The sequence below is a fragment of the Homo sapiens genome, chromosome 14, assembly GCF_000001405.40.
Source record: "Homo sapiens chromosome 14, GRCh38.p14 Primary Assembly".
Lineage (NCBI taxonomy): Eukaryota > Metazoa > Chordata > Mammalia > Primates > Hominidae > Homo > Homo sapiens.
The window spans coordinates 52936022-52954109 of NC_000014.9; the positions used below are offsets into that span (position 1 = coordinate 52936022).

At 41.1% G+C, this 18088-nt stretch overlaps 1 protein-coding gene across 7 annotated transcripts in view, besides 2 other annotated features; it reads right to left on the minus strand.

Moving 5' to 3' along the window:
* FERMT2 (FERM domain containing kindlin 2) overlaps nt 1-15029 on the minus strand; it is a 93778-nt gene extending 78749 nt beyond the window's left edge. For all 7 annotated transcript variants that reach the window (NM_006832.3, NM_001134999.2, XM_006720010.4 and 4 more), the window contains exons 1-2: nt 14900-15029; nt 14391-14556 (exon numbers count right to left, since the gene is read on the minus strand). In NM_006832.3, coding sequence (NP_006823.1) covers nt 14391-14547 — 157 coding nt within the window. In that variant the 5' untranslated portion in view covers nt 14548-14556; nt 14900-15029. The remainder of the gene's footprint in view (nt 1-14390; nt 14557-14899) is intronic.
* Nucleotides 14798-15007: a silencer, noted in NCBI's record as "silent region_5751". NCBI's record gives its function as "represses an Ori minimal core promoter by ATAC-STARR-seq in GM12878 lymphoblastoid cells {active_cell/tissue: GM12878}" and the evidence as "EXISTENCE:reporter gene assay evidence [ECO:0000049][PMID:35858748]".
* Nucleotides 15728-16306: an enhancer, noted in NCBI's record as "H3K27ac hESC enhancer chr14:53418467-53419045 (GRCh37/hg19 assembly coordinates)". NCBI's record gives its function as "activates a minimal SCP1, AML or CMV promoter by ChIP-STARR-seq in naive H9 embryonic stem cells {active_cell/tissue: H9 hESC(naive)}" and the evidence as "EXISTENCE:reporter gene assay evidence [ECO:0000049][PMID:30033119]".

The window sequence follows — 18088 nt, forward strand, 5'->3', positions numbered from 1 at the left end:
GGCTGGCTTATTGCTAATTTGGTTCAACCTGGCTTCATTCCTAGAAGACAGGGCTCGGAGTCCATGCAATGAAAAGGTCTGACAAATTCTAAGAGAGTAACATCAGGACAAAATTCACCAGTTAGTATTGGACTTAGAGAAGTATTAGTTGTGTTTGTGTTTTAAATGTGATCAATGACACTAGCTATTCTAAAGTTCAAAAGAAAAGCAATTTAGTAAGAATATTTAATTGGCTTTTATGTTGTAAGCTTATCTCAGAAAATATTAACAAATTCTAATATAAAACTTCAATGTATACTGGAAAAATTATTTCTTGAAATCCAAGAGGATTATCATTGCTTACACCTTATCTGCAAGTTATTTTATATGAAACTGATGAATTTCCAATGTGTAAAAATCTGATGTCTCCCCCTATTTAAAGTCTTTTATGGGCATCTCACAGCTCTGGGGATAATGCTAAATCTTTTAAACCTGGTTCAGAAAGCACTTTAGCATTATTTCTTCTTGAGCCTCACGTCAAGCCACTGGTTCCCTAGGATTGCTCCCCCATCATCACCAGACTTCTTTCAGTTCTTCAACTGGCCACACTCCCTTGCTCCACTTCCCATGCTGGGAATTCTCATCCTCTTCCCAGCCTGTTGTTCTGTCATCCTATCCCTTACCCACATCTCCTCCCATTTTTTGCCTGGCTAATTCCTACTCTCAGATCTCAGCTTAAAAGTCATTTCCCTCCCTCCACAAATCCTATCCTATATGCTAGGTTCCAGTTGCCCAGTACAGAATCCTATAACTATTTCAATTACCATAATACTCACTACATTATAGTAATTACTATTTAAGGATTGTCTTTAGGTCGGGAGCAGTGGCTCATGCTTGTAATCCCAACACTCTGGGAGGCTGAGGTGGGCGGATCACCTGAGGTCAGGAGTTGGAGACCAGCCTGGCCAACATGGTGAAACCCCATCTCTACTAAAAAAAAAATACAAAAAAATTAGCCAGGCATGGTGGTGCGTGCCTGTAATCCCAGCTACTCAGGAGGCTGAGGCACGAGAATTGCTTGAACCCTGGAGGTGGAGGTTGCAGTGAGCTTAGATCGTGCCACTGCACTCTAACCTGGGCAACAAAGCAAGACTCTGTCTTAAAATAATAATAATAATAATGATAATAATAATAAAGACTGTCTTTACCTTACGACTGCAAATAGAGTGAGGGTTAAGGAATGAGTTAATTTTGTTCACCCCAGTTTGTAGTATAGTCTCTGGCATCCAATAGGCTCTCATTTATAAATATTAAGTGGATAAGTTAAGGAATAACAGAATATCGTTTCACAGTTACCTATGTCTTTCTTCTCTATAAGCTTTTCTTCTATTTCTCTAAGCTAGTCTATAATACACCATGAACACTGCAATCCCCAACCTGGAATGCCTTTCTTCCTAACTTTCCACCCTGTCTCTCTTTAAATAAGGCCAGTTATTACTCACGACTCTAAACCTCTGTCTTCCTGTATTCAAGGGCTACTTATTTGGCACTTCTCAATCAGATCATTGACTCAAAGTAATTTTCTTGTTTCACTTTGTTACTAGCAAGCTGCTCATATTGAGAGCCGGGACTATGCCTCACCATATAATAGTTGGCTCTCCGTAAATGTTTGTTGCTGCTACTACAGTCCAGTTCATGTACCTTATATTCCCACACGTCTCATGTTATACCTCTATAACCTACCAAAAATAGAGCATGAATGTATAGAATTATCTCTATGCAGGAATGTTTACACATCAATGTCCCATCTCACCTAAGGGCCTTCTTTGCTATTTTAAGTTCTGTAAGGAATTTACTGCCCAAACTCATTAAGGATCCTCAATAAATTTACTGCCCAAACTCCAAAAGGATCCTCAATAAAACAATTATTAGTCTAACTACTACTTACTATGTGCCAAGAACTGCTCTAAGTGCTTTACACATGTGTCTGCATTTAATCCTTACGACAACCCTAAGTGGTAAGATTACTACACTTATTTTGTTTATAAGGACACTAAGTTGCGAAGATGTTAAATAACGTGGCACAGGGTCACAAAGCTTGTAAGTACTGAAGCTGGTATTCAAACCCAGTCAGTGACTTCAAGGAATGTATTCAGACACTTCACAACCACTAAACAGAATTTACAAAGGCAAGAAAATCTTTTAAAATGGTTTCAGCAAGAGATTAAATAAGAAGGGGTTTATGGTTAAATACTACATAAATAAAATGAAAACAAAGCAATCAGAATACTGAAAATCACAGTTGAAATTTATATTTTAAGTTTACATGGTATTTGAAGGATAACTGTAGATTACATTTTATTGAGCTCTTAGTATAGTCATTCTACTAATTATCAAGAATTGTTAATCCTTTAAATACCATATTTAGTCAATACATTAGCCCCCAAAACAAGTAAACTAAAGCTAAGTGAGACTAAATAATCAGAAGTTAAAATAACTTGCCCAAGGTCATATGTAACCAATAAGTTGGCCACATCTTAGAGTAAGTTCTTAGTCGCTAACAAAGTTCACTTAGTTTTTTTTTGAGACACAGTCTCACTCTGTCAACCAGGCTGGAGTACAGTGGTGCGATCTCGGCTCAGTGCAACCTCCACCTCCCAGGTTCAAGTGATTCTCCTGCCTCAGCCTCCCAAGTAACTGAGACCATAGGCATGAACCACCACACCCAGCTAATTTTTGTATTTTTAGTAGAGTCAGGGTTTCGCCATGTTGGCTGGGCTGGTCTCCAACTCTGGCCTCAAGTGATCTGCCCATCTTGGCCTCCCTAAGTGCTGTAAAATTCACCTTTTAAAGAAGGTATTTGTCTAACCAGAATATTGAATTTATGGAAACACTCCCTATCTTAGCATAGTGAGTCTATAATTTTGTATATGTGGAAGCATAAAATCTGCTTCTAGATGATCTTCATACTTTAATTCTTTATAGTATTACTAATAATGATGCAAAGTAGCACAATAAACTTAAAATCAATTCCTAATATGGTAAAGAGTATGTCAGACCTATTTGGCTTCTGGCTGGGTGTGGTGGCTCACGTCTGTAATCCCAGCATTTTGGGAGGCAGAGGTGGGTGGATCACTTGAGGTTAGGAATTCAAGACCAGCCTGGCCAACATGGTGAAATCCCATCTCTACTAAAAAAAAAAAAAAAAAAAAAAATACAACAAATAGCAGGGCATGGTGGTGCGTGCCTGTAATCCCAGCTACTCAGGAGGCTGGGGCACTAGAATCGCTTGAACCTGGGAGGTGAAGGTTGCAGTGAGCTGACAGCACATCACTGCACTCCAGCCTGGGCGACAGAGTGAGACTACGGTCTCAAAAAAAAAAAAAAAAACAAAGAACTATTTGGCTTCCTTTTAAAAGGCACATTCTCAATCTTTTATAATACTGGTATTTATCTGGCTCAGCACAGGGAGAAAATCTACAAACACTAAAATAGCTGGAACTGTAATTATCATCATAGCTACATTTACAAAAACTATTCTAAACACTTCATGTGTATTAACTAACATAATCCTTATAATAATCCAAAGATACTGTTATTATCCCCATTTTCCAGATGAGGAACCAGAGGCACAGACAGGTCACACAGCCCAAGGTCATACAGCTAGTATATGGTCAAGTCAGGATTCTGACGTGGGTGGGCTGCCTCTCAGTCTATGCTCCATACCAAGGGCATTCCATCTTGGCAACAGAAATCATTGCCACCTTGCATAAGACTTTTAACATTGATACAGGAATCATCTGCTTTTTTCAAGTTATTTTTAATTTCAAAGGTTATAAAATTCTTAGATCTGAACCCAGGAACTACATTAAGGAACATTAAGCTGGGAAGCACTTACCCAGTAGACAACTTCATCTACAATCAATAATGCTAGCACTTTATTGGTGTTTTATTCATAACCCTGAGTATTCCATTAAGAAAAAGATATCAAAAACATCATTACACTGATGCTTTGAAATTATAATTGATTTTTTAAATACCTAATGTATTTTTTAGTTACAACATGATGTAAAAATAAGACAGTTAAATATCTGAGAAAAGACTCCCTTCCGATTCTAAAGTAGATGTCACCTTCTCTGGGCTGGAGGTTATCAGCCCAATAACCTTGATATGTGTAGAAAGGTCACCCCAAGGATGCACTGACACTGGCTGGTCCTTATGTATCTAAATGACAGATAATTAAGTCTGAAACCTGAAACCTGAATCATGGAAGGAAATCAAAACGTAAACCTCAAATTTTAATCATTTACTGCTTATCTCTTTTTCTCATATACACGAATTCACTTCCAAGCAGCATTAATGAAGTTGAGAGAAAATACCATAAGACATCATTTTCAATTAACTTTCAAAATGTTTTACTATGTAACTCTAGGTGAGTTACTATGAACAATTAATTATTCATAATATTCTCAAAGAAGGGAAATAGATCAGGATTTGTATACTGACCCTTTAATCCACAAGAGTATGGCTGTAGATATATTTAAAGACATTCAGATATCTTCAGATACTGTTTATGTATCTTCTACTTTAGAGTTACCACATTTGAAGAACTATTTTCAAAGAATCCTAATACATTACACATTCCAAAGAGACAGGAACAAACTTAAATGATAGTTTATTCTGTGTTATCTATACTGAGATTCTAGAAATTGAAAAACTGACTTAGCCAGTAGGTTAGTCATTATGGAAATGCAAATTAAAATCACAATGAGATAGTACTACTTACTTATTAGAATGGCTAAAATTAAAACAAACGACACTAAATTCTGACAGTAACAAGGGTAGGGTAGACCTGACAGCAACTGGAACTCTCATACAATACTGACAGGAAAGTAAAGTGACGTGGCCACTATGAAAAAGTTTGGCAGTTTCTTCTAACTTCAAGCATATACTTACTATACCACCCAGCAATCCCACACCTAGGTAGTTACCCCAGAAAAATGAAAATATGCATTCACACGGATGTTTACAGCAGCCTTATTCATCATCTCCTAAAACTGGGAGTAACCCAAATGCCCTTCAATTGCTAAATGGACAAACTGTGAAATAATCCATTCAATGGACTACTACTCAGTGATAAAAAACTATTGATACAAACACATGAACGAAGCTAACATGTATTATGCTAAGTGAAAGAAACCAGATTCAAAGAGCTAGAACTGAATGGTTCCATTTGCAGGCCATTCTAGAAAAGGCAAATTATCACTGGTTTTTAGGATCTGGGTTTGAGGCGATGAGACGGTTACAAAGGAAACTTTTGGGAGTACTGTAAAAGTTTTCTATCTTGACTGTGGTAGTTTTACATGTCAAAACTCAGAATATTATACTAAGAAGGATAAATTTTACTATATGTCAATCAGACCTCAATGAGCCTGACACTAAGAAAAAAAATTAACAGGAAAAACAATTATATAGTAATTATGCAACTAATTTGTTAAAGAATGAATTATAACGAATATGAATTTGTAACCACAAACCCAAGTGCAGAAGTCACACTTCTTAATTACAAAATAAAAGAATTATTTAAAAATACACTTTCAGATGTATTTGTTTACTTCTCACTGGGCATATATACCAATTTTAAATGTTCCATGGCATAAGCATTAATTTGTCAGTAAAATAATTATTTAAATAGGAATACTGCATACATTAGCTTTTTTCTGAAACTACTTTCATTAGTTTCTAAATAGGCCCAATGTTTTCATGTGCCTTTGCTATAAATGAACTAAAAACACTGCTCTTATAGAATATATTAAGTAGAGAATTAATTTACTACTGATGCTTTCATGGTTTTAGATTTTTCAAATACCTGGAATACCATCATCCACTTATTGGTCCCCTGCATTTCAGAAATCTTATTAAAATGGTACTTAAATAGCTCTCTTACACTGCAGAGGCAGGTGTGTGTTTGGAAGTTGGCGGGAAAGTAAAATGACAGCTATTTTTTCTTGTTGTTTAGAGGGTGGGAACAGAAAGCAATCCTAAACTAAGCTTTTTTTGAGGAGTGCAATTCCCCACCAGTAAAGCTGGAACTTATTAAATATACTAGATTATATTTTAACCTACTTTTCCTTTTTTTCCTTCCTACTTTCATATACTCAGAGACTCAATGCCACAGAGAAGTATCCACTCTCATTTGCATAACACAAATAGTTTATATAAAGTATATATACATGTAGTATCAATATATATGTATTATCTCATTTAATTCTCACCAAAACCTGTGAGAAAATGTTTTTCTTTTTCTTTTTTTTTTTTTTGAGATGGAGTCTTGCTCTGTCACCCAGGCTGGAGTGCAGTGGCGCGATCCCGGCTCACTGCAAGCTCCCCCTTCTGGGTTCACACCATTCTCCAGCCTCAGCCTCCCGAGTAGCTGCAACTACAGGCGCCCACCACCACGCCCAGCTAATTTTTTGTATTTTCAGTAGAGACGGGGTTTCATCGTGTTAGCCAGGATGGTCTTGATCTCCTGACCTCGTGAGCCACCTGCCTCGGCCTCCCAAAGTGCTAGGATTACAGGCGTGAGCCACCCCGCCCGCCCCAAGAAAATTTTTTTCAATTTCTATTTTATAGAAGTCAAAACCCACTCAGGTTGGATTCATTGTCCAAAGGTCATACTAACCAGTAAAGTAGCAGACAGAGCCAGAAGTTGAATCCAGATCTTCTGACACACTAGGCAACCTGTTATTTCTTAATAATCTGTGCCTCCATCAGCACCTACTACAGTCTGAGAACAGCTGACATTATGGGAAACCTACATCCAATGATGTCTAAAACTATTATTAACAGCTTATTTAATAGTAAGCTAAGAAGTAAACTAAATTTTAAAAATAAAGTATGTGAAAAAGAACCTATAAAAATATCACTCTTGGCCAGGCGTGGTGGCTGATGCCTGTAATCCCAGCACCTTGGGAGGCCGAGGTGGGCGGATCGCCTAAGGTCAGGAGTTCAAGACCAGCCTCGCCAACATGGTGAAATCCCATCTCTATTAAAAATACAAAAATTAGCGTGGTGGCGGGTGCCTGTAATCCCAGCTACTTGGGAGGCTGAGGCAGGAGAATCACTTGAACTTGGGAGGCGGAGGTTGCAGTGGACTGAAATCGTGCCACTGCACTCCAGCCTGGGTGACAAGAGCAAAACTCTGTCTCAAAAGAAAAAAAAATCACTCTGAAGTGAAATTTGCACTGATACTAAGAACCTTATTTTAAAAAGGTTAAACAATGTCTTAAAAGACCAAGGCTGAGGAACTGTTCTACAGGGTGGCCATAAAGTTTACAAACAGATACTATCATTTTACATGTATCTTAATGTAATGTCAATAAGCCATTTATTATATAATCTCCTGTAGCTCCACACTTGGTGGCTGTTCTGTATATCAAAGGAGATTAAGAGGCCCTTTCAACTAAATGCGAAATGAGATTCTGGATGGGAAAAAAACAAAGGCCATTATTGGGACAACTGGCAAATTTTGAAAATGGATGCATATTAGATGACAGAAGTGAATCAATGTTGAATTTCCTGAATGTGATCACTATACTGTAATTATGCAAGAGAAGTTTCTTGTTCTTAGGTGATACATATTTAAATATTTAGGAATCAAAGGTTATGAGTAAGTCTGAAACTTCATCCAACTGCTCCCCAACATGTGTATGTTTGTGTGTATAGAAAATTCAAATGGCAAAATACTAACTGGTGTCTAGATGAAGATTACGCAGTGTTCACTCAATTACTCTTGAACTTAGATGTTTGAAACTTTTAAAAATTAAGAGCCAAAGATAACAGGTAAAATTTTACATATTTTCTTTCCATTCTCTTCAATAGCGAGCGATTAGACATTTCCAACAAGGCCTTTTATAAGTAATTGAATAAACATATTTTTAGCATCTCTATAAATAAGTTAACTCTAGTTGGAAACAAACAGTTTTTTACTTTAAAAAACTGGGTATAAAACATAGCAGCAAAACAAAAACAAAAGGCAGCAAATAGCACATACTCTAAGGAATAGCTCATACTTTATTAGCTGTCACAGGATTACAGTAAAACTTGAGTACTGTCCTCCACTTTTAAAGAACTTAAAATTTGCTAAGAAACTGATACAATTTAATTCACTTCCTATGGATCATGAACAGTGTTTTAAACACTGAGTAAACTTACTATCAGATTTAACCAAAACTTAATTCACTTTAATAAGATTTTAACATTGTTTCCTACTCCACCCCCAAGATTTAAAAAAATTTCTTATAATGTTAATGTATTTCACTATGAATGCAATGAGGATGCATCATGTAGGCATTAATTTCCATGAATTCAGTTGTGAGCCCTCAAGGGGAAAAACTAAGGATTTCAACTGCATAGGCACCATTCCACCAAATAAGCACACACCTTCCCCAGGGAGCACTAAGCCAGGGTATAAGGGAGCTGTCCAGTTACGTATGCCTCTTTCCCAGTGTGCATCTTGCCAAGCTCTAATCCTAGTGTTTAAAGTATTTTTTTGTGTAACGAAGCCCCTCATGTAAGCCAGTTTCTTCATCTGGTGCTCAATTAATGAAACTTATTTTTGGAGTTCCTAGAGGAAAAACTAGCTATTTTCCACTTCTGTGAGATGCAATGAACGTATACCATACTTAATGATCACGTTAAGGGATTTTTAGTGGTAACTTTATTAAAATCTATTTCTTTTTTTGGTCACATGTGCTAAGTTCACAATCTAACTTGATCCTAACATGCAACTCCAACATAAATGAACTTTTTTCATTATTATATGGCAAGAACATGACACACTTTTAAAGCAAGGACTTCTTTCTAAAGGCCACGTTCAGAAATATAATCCTCAGATTTTCTTTTTCTTTTTTTTTTGGAGACAGAGTCTTGCTCTGTTGCCCAGGAATGGAGTGCTGGGGTGTAATCACAGCTCACTGCAGCTGCAAACTCCCAGCTTCAGGCAATCCTCCTGTCTCAGCCTCCCGAGTAGCTGGGACTACAGGTGCGTGCCATCACGCCTGGCTAATTTTTGTATTTTCTGTTTTTCTGTAGAAACGGGATTTCACCATGTTGCCCGGCTGGTCTCAAACTCCTAGCTCAAGCAAACAACTTCTGAGCCTCGGCCTCCCAAAGTGCTAGGATTACAGGCGTAAGTTACCGCACCCAGCCAATCCTCAATTGTTCTATGTTTTTTTGTTGTTGTTTTTTTTTTGTGGGTTGGGGGCGGGGGGACGGAATCTCGCTCATCACCCAGGCTGGAGTGCAGTGGTGTGATCTCAGCTCATTGCAACATCCGCCTCCCAGGTTCAAGCGATTCTCCTGGCTCAGCCTGAGTAGCTGGGATTACAGGCGCCCGCTACCATGCCTGGCTAATTTTTTTTTTGTAATTTTGGTAGAGACGGGGATTTCACCATGTTGGCCAGGCTGGTCTAGAACTCCTGACCTCAGGTGATCCACCTGCCTCAGACTCCCAAGGTGCTAGTATTACAGGCGTGAGCCACCACTCCCGGCCTAATCCTCAATCTTTCTAAAGCAACTTCATATGTTTCTTTTTAGTTACTCCTGAGTCTTCCAATTTGCATTTTTTTCCCTTGTAGATTGTGTGACTTGATCTAACCCAACTTCTACATTCTCTCTACTCATAGAATCAGAGCTAGAGGAAACTTAGAGATCACCTATTTTTTCCTCTCTGCTCACAGAGCTGGCTGGAGATTTCCATTCAGTGAGCTCCAGATTATAATAAATTCCTTATTCTCCGTTTAAAATGAATTTTTATAGAAAGGTGGAAATTTAATTGTACACATAAGTTTTAAAAAGACATTTTAAAAAGTGATACTAAAACTCAGTGAACAGATCCACTTGGTATTTAGCGTCTGCCAGGCTGGAGTGCAGTGGCACTATCTCGGCTCATTGCAACCTCCGCCTCCTGGGTTCGAGCGATTCTCCTGTCTCAGCCTCCCGAGTAGCTGGGACTACAGGTGCCCATCACCATACCCGGCTAATTTTTGCATTTTTAGTAGAGGCGGGGTTTCACCATATTGGCCAGGCTGGTCTCGAGCTCCTAACCTTCTGATCTGCCCGCCTTGGCCTCCCAAAGTGCTGGGATTAGAGGCATGAGCCACCGTGCCCAGCCAAGGATTTAATACTTCTCAATGACCTCCAGAGGAATCCCATAAAATTGGGCCTCTTCTTGACAAAATTTATTTTTGAAGACAATTTTATTTTGATGTCTTGTTTTTATAATCCTTATCCCTGATATTTCATATTTAAAATTTTTCTTTTAAAAAACACTATACACGTTTGAAATTTGTCTTTGATTAAAAAAAAAAAAACAGGCATGGCAGCTCACATCTGTAATCCCAACACTTTGGGAGGCCAAGGTGGAAGGACTGCTTGAGGCCAGGAGTTCAAGACCAGCCTGGGCAACAAAGCAAGACCCATCTCTACGAAAAATTTTAAAAGTCAGCAAGATGTGGTGGTGCGTGCCTGTAGTTCCAGCTACTCAGGAAGCTAAGGCAAGAGGATTACTTGAGCCCAGAAGTTTGAGGATGCAAAGAGCCATGAACACACACTCACTCCAGCCTGGGTGACAGTGCAAGACCTTGCCTCAAACCAAACCAAACAGTACTAAATTTTCACAATTCTTTTTTTTTTTGAGGCGGAGTCTTGCTCTGTCGCTTAGGCTGGGTGGTGTGATTTTGGCTCACTGCAACCTCCGCCTCCCAGGTTCAAGTGATTCTCCTGCCTCAGCCTCCCAAGCAGCTGAGATTCCAGGCACATGCCACCACATCCAGCTAATTTTTGTATTTTTAGTAGAGATGGGGTTTCTCCATGTTGGTCAGGCTGGTCTCGAAGTCCTGACCTCAGGTGATCCACCTGCCTCAGCCTCCCTGCCTGCTGGGATTACAGATGTGAGCCACCGTACCCAACCTAAACTGGATTTTAGGGTGTTTTTCACTTTCTGGATGAAGTATAAACACTGAGGGGATCAATTATTTATGAAGTATCAGCCTAGACTAAGTCACAAATGCAAAAACTTTGTCACATTACGATATAATTCCCCAAAGCCCACTTCATGACATATGCTTTTGCTTTCTTTTAAAAGATTAATAGCAAATGACAAATGTGTTTTATACTGAGATTTAAAAGAGACCTAGGATGGGCGTGGTGGCTCACGTCTGCAATCTCAACACTTTGGGAGGCCAAGGCAGGCGGATGACGAGGTTAGGAGATCAAGACCATCCCGGTTAACACGGTGAAACCCCGTCTCTACTAAAAACACAAATAATTAGCCAGGCATGGTGGCGGGTGTCTGTAGTCCCAGCTACTCGGGAGGCTGAGGCAGGAGAATGGCGTGAACCCAGGAGGCGGAGCTTGCAGTGAGCCGGGATCGCGCTACTGCACTCCAGTCTGGGCGACAGAGTGAGACTCCCGTCTCAAAAAGTAAAAAATAAATAAATAAATAAATAAATGAGACTTTTCAGATCTTTGAATTAAAGTCAAAATTCTAAAAATTGTGTTTTAATGGCCTTAAGCAAAGTGTACACGTTATTTATAATAAAAGTCTAACTAAACACAAAGATATTACTGACACATATTAAGGAAACATTATTTACACTTATGTCGTGCTTAATTAAAATGCCGCACTCTGGGATGAACCCTAGCTTCAAGATGAACCTGACACACAAGGGCCAAACCATAAAATTGTGTCATGACTTCTTTTGTTACAGACCTCTTTGAGAAATTAAAGTGAAGAAGCCTCTTCCTAGAAACTTCCACATGTGCACACACACAATTTTAATACAATGTTGAGGGAATAGGTCATCCTGAGATCTATCGACTTCAGGGAAATAATTGCTGCTACTGAACATTATCTGGGAAAATCACCTTAAAATATAATGCTTTTGGTATTCATATACCGTCCAACAGATTAAGAAGGATATCAGACAGTCTGGAGTTTGAAAATGTAAGTGAATGCTCTGGTGTCTTCTGTTCATAACTGCTTCAAGGCCACAGTAGCCCAAGTCTGCTAATTTTCCATCACTGCTCTGCAAACCTGAGACAACAGACTTTGTACCATCTCATCCCTACCACCATCTCCACCTTTTATCTAGACTCTGCAAGCTGCTTTGATCCTCTCTAGCCACTGTTGGCAAGTAGTCATCCAGTCTGCCCTTTAATACCTTCAGTGACATAAGTCAGGGCTTCAGAAGGCAGGTCATTCCAGTTTTACGCAACTCTGAAAAATTACAAAGTTCTTTTCTAATTTGACTAGCCTGATTTGTGGATGTTTTAAATGCTGCCCTACCGAATCTCTCCTCTATTTACTTGCTGATAGGCAACGAAATAGCTTACCATTCAAAGCATCTAATCCTAAAAACCAAAAGCATCACTTAGCTCTACTTTTACCAAACAGGAAAGTCAGAGGCACTTTCTATTTGGAATTCAAAATATAAGAGGAATCAGTATGAATTCAGTTCAGAAAAGATGTAAGGTTTCCATACGCACAGCATTTCCTACCTTGTTGGGCTTCTTTTCTCTGCATAAAAAATTAAAAATGTATCAGCATTAAAAGATTAAGATTATAGTCATTTAAATTAACATCATTTCTGTCTGCAGTTTATTCTCTATATTTCTATTTATTACTGTGATTCTATAATAAACAGTCCTAAGCAATGCAAAATAAATATAGAAACCATTATTTATTCATTAGCTACAGCCTGGCTTTCGAGAACTACAAGTTGTCTCAGTCACCTTCAACAGCTCCTTTTTTTGCAATATAAAAAATATCTCCTATTGAGACCAATGTATTAATATGGTCCATTTACCATAAATTAGAAAAGCTCTAACAAAAATGCTTGTTTTCTTTGAAAACAAAATATCCAAATATTTGCTATTTTCCTTCTTAAATAATCTCATACCAGAGCTGGACAAAAAAGGTTCATACATATTTTGCAAACAGTGACTGATTTATTCAAATCAGATAAAAATACTGTTAACTGCCAGTTAAATGGTTAATCAATACAGCAAAATCTAATTTTCACTGGGCTACCTAGGAGGATTTTCTTTCCTGAGCTGTATCTCAGGGAGCCAAACAATGCAGTCTTAAGGAAGAGGCTACCTTGTAAGGAGCTTCACTTTGGTCCTTCAATAATAAAACTTCCTGCAGGGGTACAAAGCAGGTCCACCCAAATGAATCCTGCCTTATTTTGCAAAATGCATCAGAGTGCTATTTCAGTACCTTTACATACAATAATCCTTTGGTAAGAAATAGATTTCCTGACAAATAAGCACTTCTCTACTTTCCCAGTGTAGCTTGAAAACGAATGCTGTGTTTAAAAAAAAAAAGAAAAAAAAAAAGACGAAAAAAACCCCCAGAAAGTCCCCAACCCCCCTTCACCAAAACAAAAAACAATTCCAGCCTAAAAAGACAATGCCACACAGATAATCATCTTATCACAACTGTATTATGTACAAAAGGCTCTTTAAAGCTCAGGAAGATAGTTCTCTGAGCATTTCTCTTATGATCAAATCATCTATTTAGCTGACTCTTCCAGATGAAAATGGTTTCATTCATCACAAAAATGTGTACTGCACACTCTTCACACACTTCATACTGTAAGATACCTTATTATTTTAAATCGGATATCAATCCAATACATATTTGTACTCAAGCAAACACCGTCAACCTCAAATTAGTTTAACAAAGTCTGCTTTTTAACACAAAGTTCTTTCCTTGGCTTGTTATTAATATAAAACCGAACGCTCGAAACGGCTTACATCGAGCATGGACTATGGATACCAAGTTTGTCAAGCACTGCCCCACCCCTAGTAAGAGTGGATGACTGGAACATTTTAATGCACTCCACCACGTAGAACAGCCACAGAAACTTCACACTGGCGCCAGTAGTTGCACATTTTCCAGCACAGATTTTTCTTAAATGGATTTTGCATCATTCTCTATACCAAACGTCACTAACATTCAGGTATGCTGAAGACATAGATAACCACGGACACTGTAATATCACCCTCCCAACACACTTTCCTCATTCTTTTATCGTTCTGTCAGTAAATGTTAAGAATTAACGAGTTCCCCGGCACACATCCCCCGTCCCGCGTAACTACGCAATTAAGGTTATAATTGGGAGGCTCGAATCATTACATATGAAAATTCAGAGAATAGCAAAACAAAATAAGACGCAAAGGGGAACAGGTCTATCTGCTTAAATACTGAAAGATTTTACATCTCCAAAAAGCATTTGCGAGATGCCAAGATTTCTCAAATGGGCCCCTCCCCCGTCGTGAGCCTCTTTCCTCCCCCTACCAATTCTGGGAAGTCATTAGTTGGACGCGGCTGGGATGCTACTCACCGAGTTTCTCCACCAGCTTAAGCATCACGCCTCCAATGTGCACCTCGCCGGTCACTCTCAGGGTGACATCGCGGTTCAGGTCCGTCACATGGACACTCAGTTCCCACGTCCCGTCCGCGTAGCAGCCATCTGGCATCCTTATCCCGTCCAGAGCCATGGCTCCTTCCTGCGAGCGCGGAGGAAATGGCTCTCGTAAGCGTCACTCCCCCAAAGAAAGGCGAATCCCACCGAATTCGCAGCGCCGGCCACGGGCTGGGAGGTGGTGGAGGACCCGGGGCTTTCGGCAGAAACTCGGGAGGGCGGCGGCGGCCGGGGCTGCGGGAGGACCCTACGCCCCGCTCGCCCCGCAGCGTTCCTCGGTCCCGGCGCCGCCCGCCCCACACCGTCCCCGCCTAGCGGACCGCGGAGGGCTTCACCTGCCGGCCGGCCCCGAGACACAGCGCGGGCTGACTCCCCGTTCCCCTCCCCGCCGCGCCCCCTCGGGTCCCGGCGGGGTCCCGCTCCCTCACCGCGCGCTCCTAGCGCTCCGGGCCCGGGACTCGCGCGGCAACAGGCGAGGGGCTGGAGGCTCGCGGGGCGGCGGTGTCCGCGTCCGGTTCCTCGGCTGGCGAAGCGCTGCCTGTGGCCGGAGCGGCTAATGGAGTCCCGTCGTCGCGGCCCCTCGCCTGGCTCCCCGCGCTCCACCCTCTCCCCGCCCCCTCTGTCCGAGCCTGGCTGGGCTGGGCGCGCTGGCTCCCTCCTTCGCCGCCCGCAGAGCTGCCCTGAGCGGGTCCGGCCGGCCTCGCCTCTGCCCCCGCCCTCCCGGCGCCGCGCTCGGGGGAGGGGGCTGCGGGTCCCGGGCGGGGCGGGGCGGCGTGGGGCGGGGCGGCGCGGGGGTGGCGGGGGGCGCGGCGGGGCGGCAATCTCGGCCCCGCGGAGCGCTGCCCTTTTATGGAAATGAAGGACCCGGCTCAGGAATTGAATCCAACATCCGGGCTCTAGGCGGCGGGCCCTGAGGAGGGGGAGCGGGGGAGCGCGGGCGGCCTTTCCCGGGGCGCTGGTGGCCGGCGGGGCGTCTAGAGCTCAGGCTGGACTGGGGCCCCCGCGGCGTGTGTCCGCGCTGGCAGCAGGGAGAGGGGGCTTGTCCGTGAGAAACGGCCCCAGGAAATTCCCAGGGCAAGGTCGTTTTCGGAGAACAAAGTCCTCTCGCCCCCTCCCCACGCCTGCAGCGAGACAAAAAGCCTCAGGGAGGTGAGAGGTGCCGCACCCCGGGAGCTGGAGAGAGGAGTCTGGGACGGAGAAACTTTAAAAAGTAAATGCCCAAACCAACTCCTTGAATGTCCTACAAAAGAATAAGAAAACCCCGAGGGAGGTGAACCACAAAAATTGCTTTGCAAGCAATGTCCGGCACCATCAGCAACTCCTACTGGACTCCCAGGAGTTTGCAAGCGTTCTTAACCCCTTCGGACGCTCCAGCCAGATGCCAGTCAAACAGATGATGCTCTTGCCTGAGGGGAAAGGAAAGACACAACCTAGTGCCACAGGTTTTACTCAGAAACTGTTTCCCCAGCTTCTCCAGCTCTTTGTACTTATTTGTGTGTTTTTATATGCAAGTTAGAACTAACAGTCTATTAAAGCTGTTAGATGGAGATACATGTTCCATCCCACCCTCAGCCACACCTTGGATTTTAATACTTCTGGAACGGTGCCTGCAGGTACCAGGAAGAGCTAAACAACTTCACCTGTTGAAGACTGGCTAGTGATGGGGAACGGTCCTCCTGCTTCCCGCTTTTGTTTCCACTTCCCCCATTAACTGTTGTACTCTGTTGAGGGAACTCCTTTCAGAAACAGCAAACCAGAGAAACTGCCTCGCTAGCAAATTCATGGGCTCAGAAAATAAACGTCAAGAAGGCTCAGATTAAAATACCTTTTAAAGATAAAAGACTCCAGTTCGCAGTCTCATAATCTTGTCGAATTGTCTCAAACGCTTGGAAAAGGAACTCGCTAGGCAGATAACCTTTTGTTCATTAACATTACTGGGAAACAAGATGAGAGGCCTCAAGAAAGGGGTGGAACTCAGAAAGGAGTGAAAGCAGCAAAATTTAGTCAGATGCCAAAGGCTTGGCAGAAAAAAAAATAGGGAAAACCACTACAGTGTTTTTAGCTAGTTATCATGGAGAAATTGATGCCTTCAGTCTCTTATCTGTCTACTCTCCAATATTTCTACTCGTGGACGTTCCAAATAGTTCACTTGAAAGCAATATGAATGTCCGGAGATGAGGGAGTTTATGTAAATTATGGGGTTGAAAATATACAGGAAAATGTTTTTAATAAATTAAGGAATTGCTTGTTAGGGCACAAAACTGCAGAACTGGATATGCAGCTATAAAATTAAGAGCTTATTTACGTTAAATGTTCAGAGAAAAAGACTGTAAGGAAATACAGCAAAATGTTAAGAAGCTCTCTGGGTCTTGAGATCACGGAAGTTTTTTCTTTCTTTTATTCTTTATTTTCTGCCAACTCAAAAACTTTACACCACCACCTAGAATTGCATCCAGCATTTCAGTTTCTCTGTACATGCCATGACATTCACGATGATAGACACTGGATACAGCAGCTACTGACTGAACGATGGACAGGATTTTCAGAGGTTTCCTTTGGTGTTTTTTAAATAGTTCTAAAGAAAACTTGAGTTCTTTAAGAGCAGAGATTTCAAATTATTTTCATTGTCCACAAATTCACAATAGCTTGGTACAGAGAAAATGGAAAACATGCTGGTGTCAAACCAACACAAATGTCAAAGAAACAGTGGGTCTGTTCCATGGAGAAATCTCAGGGGCCAGGTACAGTGGCTCATGCCTATAATCCCAGCACTTTGGGAGGCTGAGGCAGGAGGATCACTTGAGCCCAGGAGGTGGAGGCTGCAGTGAGCTGTATTCACACCACTGCCCTCCAGCCTGGATTGATCGCAGAAAAACAAAAAACAAATCTCAATGGGAAAATCCCCACTTTAAAAATATACTTATTTATTTCCCCCACTTTATCCCCCAAAAGATTTATGGCAACGTATAAGGATGCATAAACTGTGAGATAGTATACATTATAAGTGGCACAAAACAAGAAAAAAAAGGTGGGTGGGGATTGGGAGGCTTAGAGGGGTGGAGTAGAGATTTATTTATTTATTTTGGAGTAGAGATTTAAAATGGAGCTGGGAATGAAGCTAAGAATTGTATCTTATGACATTTGCACATGCTCCAGTAAGCTACAAAAAAATTATGGCTTTCTAAACATGCCTTTCTAGAACCTAAAATATCTATGCCCTTTCTGAATATTCCCTTTCCTTCAGACAAAATTGTTGAAGCCAACTGTCATGGTTTAGAAACTCTTTTAATACAGATGGTCCCTGACTTATGATTTTTTGTTTATGACGGTGTGAAAGCGATAGGCATTCAGTAGAAACCGTACTTTGAATACCCCTAGGACCTTTCTGTTTTTCACATTCAGTACAGTATTCAATAAATTACATGAGATAGTCAACACTTTACTATAACATGGGCTTCATATTGGATCATTTTGCCCAACTGGAGGCTAATGTAAATGTTCTGGATACATTTAAGATAGGCTAGGTTAAGCTGTGATGTTCGTCGGTAGGTTAGGTATATGAAATGCATGTTTGACTTACAATATTTTCAATTTACAGAATGTAACCTCATCATAAG